The sequence below is a fragment of the Homo sapiens genome, chromosome 8 (assembly GCF_000001405.40).
Source record: "Homo sapiens chromosome 8, GRCh38.p14 Primary Assembly".
Taxonomy (NCBI): Eukaryota; Metazoa; Chordata; class Mammalia; order Primates; family Hominidae; genus Homo; species Homo sapiens.
The window spans coordinates 6284317-6293643 of NC_000008.11; positions in this window are offsets into that span (position 1 = coordinate 6284317).

A 9327-nucleotide genomic window follows, 5' to 3' on the forward strand; every position below is an offset into this window, starting at 1 on the left:
TAGAGGTGGGGTTTCACCATATTGGTCAGGTTGGTCTTGAACCCCTGACCTCAGGTGATCCATCTGCCTCGGCCTCCCAAAGTGCTGGGATTACAGGTGTGTGCCACCGCAACCGGCCTATAAAGTATTTTGCATTGTTAATCTTGTTGAAGTTTATTGATTCCACAATGTGCATTGAGTGCTTAGTAGGTGCTAGTTATGGTGCAGGCAAAAGACCAAAAAACGATACTGTAAAGGGCTCGCATTTGCCAGGGATGTGACCAACTCCTTCAGGGTGAGTCTGGTGATCCTCGCAGCAGGAGTGGGGAACGAATGAATTCTGCCGTGGCTGTCCTAGGAGGCTTAATGGAGTGAGGGTCTCCGAGTGCACTAAGGTTAGCCATAGAGAGAAAAGATGAGGAAAGACCTTCCAGGCTGGAGGAAGAGCCAGAGCAAAGCCCAGAGGCCCACAGGAGCTGGGCATTGTGGGAAACAGAAAGTGGCTTTGTGTCTATAGCAGTGGCTACAGTGGAGGGCACAGAGAAAATGTGGCCAAAAAAAAAAAAAAAAGAAGAAAGCTTTGACAGTCTCACTCAGGATTCTGGACTTTGCCTAAGTCTAATGGCAATTGAGAGCCATCAGGAGATTTTAAGCAGGAAAGAAACGTGATCAGATTAGGGTTTGAGAAAGACGGCTCTCTCAGCAGTGCAAAACCTGGATTGAAGTGGGGAGAAACTGGTGTGAGAGCCAAGATAAATCTGAGCCTCTGCAGACTTCTCCACCTTCCTGCGTAGACCCTGAAATGTGTCTTTAATGGATTCTATAAATTTCCACACAAGGATAACAACCTAGTGAAAATTATAGCATCTGTATCCACCAGTTTAAACTCCATTATTATAACCATCCAGGGCAACATGTGTTATGATTTCAAACAAAGAGGTTACCATTGATACACAAGGCAGGTCGTGGAGCTCACTTATCGGAGATGCTCAAGGTTTTAGTAATAACGCATTCCTGACAGCAGCAGCAGGGCGTTTAATCAGAATGATCTTCCTTCCTTTCTCCTTTGGGACTACATCCCTCCCACTCCAAAAGTGCCCCTTTAAGGCTAACATTCTTGCTGATTCTGACTGTTCATGCAAAGTGTATTTCTAACTAAAATGCTTAAGTGTTACAATAGCTGCTTTTTTGGTTTTTGTCTTTTGTTTTGGGGCGGTTGAAATTTATCCTGGTAATGGTTGCAGAACATCATATTTTCTCTTTCTACCTATTTCCACATCATTTGCCACTGTTTCTTTTTTTATTTTATTTTTATTTTTGAGATGGAGTCTTGCTCTTGTCACCCAGCCTGGAGTGCAATGGCACGATCTTGGCTCACGGCAACCTCCGCCTCCTGGGTTGAAGCGATTCTCCTGCCTCAGCCTCCTGAATAGCTGGGATTACAGGTGCCCATCACCACACCCAGCTAACTTTTGTATTTTTAGTAGAGATGGGGTTTCACCATGTTGGCCAGGCTGGTCATGAACTCCTGACCTCAAGTGATCCACCCGTGATGGCCTCCCAAAGTGCTGGGATTACAGGCGTGAGCCACCATACCCAGCTTTGCAACTATGTCTATAGCCACCCTTCACATGCTTGCGTCTAGTCTGCAAGCTGACATCTCCTTTGTGCCCCTGACTTACTGCCTTTTGTGATTATTCCTTTTATATTATGCCTCCCCCACTAGAGTTCTCCAGAGAAAAAGAGCCCATATGGATATAGAGGAGGCAATTTATTATGAGAACTGGCTCACATGATTCTGGAGGCTTTGAAGCCCTGTGATCTGCCAGCTGCAAGCTGGAGGAGACCCGGGAGAGCCAGTGGTGTAATTCAGTCCAAGTCCAAAGGCCTGAGGCCTGGAGGAGCCAAGGCTGTGAGTCCCAGAGTCCGAAGGCCCAGAAATCAGGAGCTCCAACATCCAAGAGCAGGAGAAGATGGATGTCCCATTTCAGATAGAGAGAGTAAATTCTCCCTTCTACTTTTAAACCCTCAACAGATTGGATGAGGCCCACACTGATGAGGGTGGGCCTTCTTCACTCCATCTACTGATTCGAATGCTACTCTCTCATGGAAATACCCTAACAGACACACTCAGAAGCAATGGTTTGCCAGTTATCTGGGCATCCATTAGCCCAGTTGAGTTAACACATAAGATTAACTGTCACATTCTCCTACCCGAGTCTTCCTTTCTGTGGCTTAAGGAGTATGGCCCCACTCACCCCTCAGTGTCCAGGGATGGTCCCATATTCCCAGCTTGACCAATATGCGTACTTTCCCCCAGACACAGTGGCCATTCAGGGACAGCCAGTTGACCATAATTAGGCCAATAAGACTCATTCCTGGGATTCCTGGAGATTCCGGAAAAGAGATGCTCCCTTTCCTGAACCTGCAAGCTTTAAAGCCATGAGCTGCCAGGGGCTCTACATGGAACCTGAGAAGGAAGCACATCTCCAGAGACAGAGAGCTGACATAGAAGGAAGGACAAAGAAGGTTCTCGGGAATTGTTTGAGCAATGGGGCTTGACTGTTACTACTGCAAGGAACTCTGAGTTCCAGCACTTCTTGTTTTCTTCCCTTTAGCAAGTCTGAGTTGGGTTTTCTGCACCTGCACCTAAAGAGTTGCAACCAGCATCGCAGGCGACATCTCTGGTTCCTGGAGGTCTGGAAGCAGTGCAGAGGGAAGCGTGGGAACTCACAATTCCACTTGGTCCTATGAGTCACTAGCCCTATCTCCACAGCCTCTCAAAAGGTACATGATGCAAATCCCTCCCCACAAATCTTCATCACCGTGTTCTCATTCATTCATCCCATTAATATCTTCAAGCTCTTCTTGTGGGTCAAATGAGGTAGTTATGTTAAACTCTAATTTGAGACCACACAAGTTGAATAAGGAAACTGAAACTATTCCAGGTTTTGTACAAGATTGTAACGCTCACAAATTATGAAGGTAGAATCGACAAGTGTTGAATTCTCTGCCCTATGACATTGCCAAGTGAAGACATGTTTCTCACCCTCATAGTCCTCCCGAAGAACTGAACACATAAACACAACAAGTGACTACACCGTAATGAGAAATAGAATAGTGATAAACAAAATTCCACCGGAGCATAGGGAAACACCGGGAAGCATTCTGGGAGATCAGTGGTCAAAAAAAAGAAAAACCGTCAGAAAGGAGGTTTTGGGTGCCAAAGAGTGAAGGAGAGCATTATGTAGGAGAGAGTGGAGAATGCATTGCAAACAGAAAGACCCACTTAGCAATGACTGGGAGGGGTAAAGAAGGCCACATGCACTAAATGTGGCCCGGTGCCTAACACAGCTCAGCCTGGGGGTGAGGTTTGGGAAGGTGAGCTGTGAGGCTAAGAGAAGGTGTCAGTAGACATTAGGAGAGGTCTGGAATGCCACACAGGCACATGTGCCCTTAATCTCTAAGGAGATGATCCCTTAAAACTCTCAAAGCAAGAGATTGGTGCGATCAGATCTCTCTCCTCATCAAAGGAGCTTTCAGATTAAAAGAGACGCCCATGGGCCGGGTGCGGTGGCTCACACCAGTAATCCCAGCGCTTTGGGAGGCCGAGGCGGGCGGATCATGAGGTCAGGAGATCGAGACCATCCGGGCCAAGATGGTGAAACCTCATCTCTACTAAAAATACAAAAATTACCTCGGCATGGTGGTGGGCACCTGTAGTCCCAGCTACTCCGGAGACTGAGGCAGGAGAATTGCTTGAACCTGGGAGTGGAGGTTGCAGTGAGCCGAGATTGCACCACAGCACTCCAGCCTGGCAACAGGGCAAAACTCCATCTCAAAATAGATAAATAAATGAATGAAATGAAATCAAATAAAAGTGACACACATCAACGTGGTGCAGAAGAAAGCATGTACAACGTCAGACAGCCATCAATGGCTGTAGTGACGGCAGTCCCTGCAGAACGGTCCCTGTGGCGACCACATCACACCTGCCATTTAGAAAGGCAATTCCTTGAACAGGTGGAATTATAATCAGGAGCAAAAAGTAATGACCTGATAGTGAAGAGGCATTTTTTTTTTTTGAGATGGAGTTTCACTCTTGTCACCCAGGCTGCAGTGCAGTGGCATGATCCCAGCTCATTGCAACCTCCACCTCCTAGGTTCAAGCGATTCCCCTGCCTCAGCCTCCTGAGTAGCTGGGACTACAGGTGCCCACCACCATGCCTGGCTAATTTTTGTATTTTTAGTAGAGACAGGGTTTTGCCATTTGGCGAGGTTGCTCTCGAACTCCTGACCTCAGGTGATCCACCTGCCTCGGCCTCCCAAAGTGCTGGGATTACAGGTGTAAGCCACCGCACCCAGCCTGAAGAGTCATTTTCAATAGCTCAAGGCAAGGATGGTCAGGCCCTGATGAAGATCGCAGACACAGAAAAACAGAGCCCTGCATCTTCCTTCTTGTCCTCACGTCCCACTGCCCACTCCCCAGGTAGGAACCAGGACACCGTGATGCTCCCGTGCTGCGGACCCCTCCTGTGTGCCTGGACTGAGAGTCTCCAAAGGCCTCCCTTGGCTTTAGTGCTTGCTCTCCCTCTTTGACTTCTTTTGCAGATTTCAAACAAAAAGTAATTTCTTTGGGAAATGGTATTAAGGATGCTTTACCTTCTGAAAATGAATAATGCTTTTTTATTACTGTTTTATTATTATTAATTATTATTATTTTGAGACAGCCTCATCTCTGTCACCAAGCTGCAGTGGGGTGGCGTGATCTGGGCTCACTGCAACATCCGCGTCCCAGGTTCAAGCGATTCTCGTACCATAGCCTCCCGAGTAGCTGGTATTACAGACCTATGCCACCATGCTTGGCTAATGTTTATATTTTTAGCAGAGATGGGGTTTTGCCATGTTGCCCAGGCTGTTCTTGAACTCCTGAACTCAAGCGATCCGCCTCCCTCCGCCTCCCAAAATGCTAGGATTATATGCGTGAGCCACCGCGCATGGCCTATTACTGTTTTAGAATACTAATTCTCGGGTTGGTTGAAAATAGTCTGTGTTCCTCAAAAACCTACTCAAGGGCACAGTTAGTTACACAATTTTTTAATTTCATGTTTTATAAAAATCAATCAACTTTTCAAACCCTGACATAAAGACATAAATGCACCTCAAAAAAGCTGTAGACATTTCTATACATTCTACTGGAAAAAAATTAAAAACTTTGAAAAATGTATGGCAATCCATACTATGGCATAAAGCCTTAATTTAATATTGGTAATTAATTACAGTATTACATCTTGAATCCAATGAGTAGATTTAGATCTCCGTATATTGGATATAAAATCATTTAACAGGAGTTGACAACCGCATGCCTCAGCAACTAATTAACTGTGTTACAACCCACCAATCAATAAGCACAGGCCTAACACTAACTGAGAATGACATGGCGCCTCCACGTGGCGCCTCCAGTGCTCTCCGTGCGCTATTCCCTGAAATTTCCAGAAAGCCTGTGTGCCAGCGTTACCGTGGCACTGCAGGCGGTGGAGAGGCCAAGTGCTTCAGGACGACCCAGCCTCTGCAGTCTCAGTCTCTGCCGGCCCCACTTGCTTTGGTAATTCCATTCTCCCTAATTTCCCCACCACCACCCTCCTGTGTGTTTCCATTGGTCAAGATCTTCATCGACATCATCAGCTTTTGGAATTTTTCCACAGCACAAGTCAAAGCAGAATAAAATGAGAAGTATTTCAGACTCATGGGCATTTGAGCTAAGGCTTGTTCTTGCCTGCACACTCCTGAAATTAATTTGAGTGAAGGCTTTTCAGAGCAACGGGAGAATGTGGAAGATGCAACCGGAAGGCAAAGGAAATTATCAATTGCAGAGCGCAGAGAGGAATGCATCTGCCCCAGGCAGAGAAGTGAAGCCCAGAGAGCAAGAGAACACTCCTCCCACGTGAAAAATTCACCATCCCCTTTGTAAAGCATCTAGGGGCCTTTTTGGTTTACAGAGTAGTGAGACATTGGGCTTACGCCATGGCTTCAAAGATGGAAATTCTAGAAGCAACACTGAGTCGTAGTTTCTTGTACAGACGCAAAGAAGTACAAACACATCAGGCTTTCAAAACCACAAATGCAGTCTCTGAACTTAGACTGATGATTAGCAACACTTTTGCTATTAATGGTCACACAGGACACAGCGAGGAGCTTGGAGCACAGGGGCCTGAGATGCAGGTTTTATTCCAGCTCCACAGGCCTTTTCTGAGTGCGAATCTGAAACTTTCATTTCTCTACGGGATGATACATTCCCAAAGGGCAGGGACAATATCCTTTTCATTTTTACAATCTAACCCTCTCTCCACCCACACCTGACCTTCAACTCTACAGCCGCCAGTCCAGCACATAACACAGGGCTTTTATAAGAGTCTTAATAAATAATTTTTCTTGATACAAAGTCTCACTCTGTTGCCCAGGCTGGGGTGCAGTGGCGCGATCACGGCTCACTGCAACTTCTCCCTCCCGGGTTCAAGCGATTCTCGTGCCTCAGCTTCCCAAGTAGCTGGGACTAAAGGCATCCGCCACCACGCCCAGCTAATTTTGTATTTTACTAGAGATGGGATTTCACCATGTTGGCCACGCATAAATAAATTTTTTCAATTGTCTCAGAAAATAAAAATTATGCTTATAATTTTTATTTTTTGAGGTATGGCAGGTTTAGCAGAAAGAGAGAAAAATGCATCTTTGCAGAGACGAATTATTATAAACCATTGGTAGTTTTACAGTTCAGTCCATGAACTTTGAGACTATAATGTAGCTGCAACAATTTTGCAATACTTTTGAAATACCCACAATTCAACAAAACTAAAGGGAAATTTACCATGAAAGCGTCTATAATGCAATAATCAGTTAAAAACTATCAAATTAGAAAATGTCTTCGATAAAGGAAGAATATTTGTGAAGATTCTGAAGAGGACTTGAAAACCGTAAAGAATGACTCTAGTATGTCGAATATTTTTAAAATACGACGTCACTTTCCCTTAATGTAAGTATGTACTCTGAAACCTATCAGCCACGATTGTGGGTGCTTTTAAATCAAACATTAAATGAAGAAAGGAAAAGAGAGAATTCTCAGAAGTAGACAGACAAGAGCTAGGAGAGCATTTGAGGAAGGAAGCAGATGACAGATGTTGTGTGAGAATGTGTAAGAACGTGCCTGCATTAGAATGAACTGCGCTTTAAGCTCTCAGAGGGAGAGGAGTGGCTCATAGACTCCTAGGGAGCAGACAAACTGGGTAGGGAATTTCTCTCAAACCAACAACCAGTTACCGACAATGTCCAGAGGTACCAAGCCAAGGCAAAGTAGTCACCATTTGGAGGCGGAAATGGGTAAGGAGCACATATGAGCCTGAAGACTCAGGAAGGTTTGAGGAGGAAAACGTTGAACATGCATTACAGAAGTGTAGTGTATGTTTAAAAAGTAGGAAGCAGTCTTTTCCTACCCTGAGCTTCCACGGTTCAGTGGGGCTAAACCTCTCCCTGATCCCAGGAGGGAGCACGTGACACTTCCTGGGGCATAACCACCAGTTTTGGAGCTGGCAAATGGCCCCCGCCCTGCCATCTGGAGACGACTCCGGAACTCTTCCGGAGTTCTTTGGAATAAATGTTCTTTTTCTCCTGTGGTTAATTTTGGTGTAATGTAAACTCACACTGCTGGTGGTTATTTTAGAAACCATGTGGGGAAACCTTGCCTAAAAATAAATATAATCCAGAGGAAAGAGGAACTGAGAGAAAAGGCCAGTCTCACTCACATGTTTGCGGTTCCAGATCCAGGAGTTCCTAAATACAGCTGTATCCCGCAGTTCCTAATGATGTGTGCTAGTAAATTCCCCTCTCCATGCTCATGTCATTTGAATTGAGATTCTTCTACTTAAAATAAGAATATTCTACTCACATAAGGAGAGTCTGAGTTTGGATGTCTATATTTAAAAGAATGTCTATGAGACAAATTAAGTTCATTTCTTTTATTTTTTTTGAGATAGAGTCTTGCTTTGTTGCCCAGGCTGGAGTGCAGTGGTGCAATCTCGGCTCACTGCAACCTCCACCTCCCAGGGTCAAGTGATTCTCCGGTCTCAGCCTCCCAAGTAGCTGGGATTACAGGCACACAGCACCACACCTGGCTAACTTTTGTCTTTTTAGTAGACTCAGGGTTTCACCATGTTGGCCAGGCTGATCTTGAACTCCCGATCTCAGGTGATCTGTCTGCCTCGGCCTTCCAAAGTGCTAGGATTACAGGCGTGACTCACCATACTTTGCCATGGTCCCCTTTTAAATAGAGTCTGAACTTGCCATCTTCAGTGTCCTGAATATTTTTTTCTTTAATAATTACCACATATAAGAAAATCTTTAACATGAATGATAAAGACAAAAAAGTTTCAAAACAAAAGAAAATAAATATCCATGAAATCAAAACAAAATAATTTCCGCTTCTGTTACAGTATTGCTCATATGAGACCAACCCTTCCCAGTAGGAACACTGTAAAATCAGGGTAATTGTTTAGATGCTGCCGGAAGACACTGGAGAGTAACCAATGGATTGAGCGGCCAAAGGCAAGAAAAAAAATATGATGGCAAAATAATCTTTCTTTGTGCCTTTCCTCTGAAATGTGGGTCAATTAGATGTCTCGAATTAGAGGCTGAAAACCAGGCAGAAAGTCACCGCGAAGGGTTTGCAGTAGTCTCACAGAGCGGGGGAAACAAGACTGGAGGTCAGAGTTATCAAGACAGCCACGGTTTAGAGGGAGATGTTGAAGAACAGAAGACTTGTACAGGATTTAGTCTAATACTCTTCTAGACCGAAAAGCTAAGCAGAAAGCAACAACCAAAGACTCAAAAATAAAAAGTTTCAGCAGCCCTGTTGTGTTGAAAAAATACAAACTGGAGTTCACGGCCAGCTAGGGAAGGCTAGCCCTGCTAAACATCCCAGAGTGTGCCCCAGGAGTAAAGGCAAAATGGAAGTAGAGCAGATCTCACAAAGATAGAAACAGCCTCAAATCAACTCAATCCCTGGTTGGATCAAAGTGATCTACCATTCCCATAACTGCCTGCCAGAAGAAAATGAAATCCTTTCTAGAGGAAGCTATCATCCAATGGCTCTTAAATTTTTTATACTTAATATTTGCATTCCATAAAAATTATTAAAAAACAAGGAAAAATAAATAGAAATTGATACGTTAATAAATATGGATTTTTAAATAACTGCGATTAACGTGTTCAATTAAACAGATGACAATAGTTTCACTAGGAAACAGAAATTTATTTTAAATAAACAATCAGGCCAGGTGCAGTGGCCCATGCTTGTAA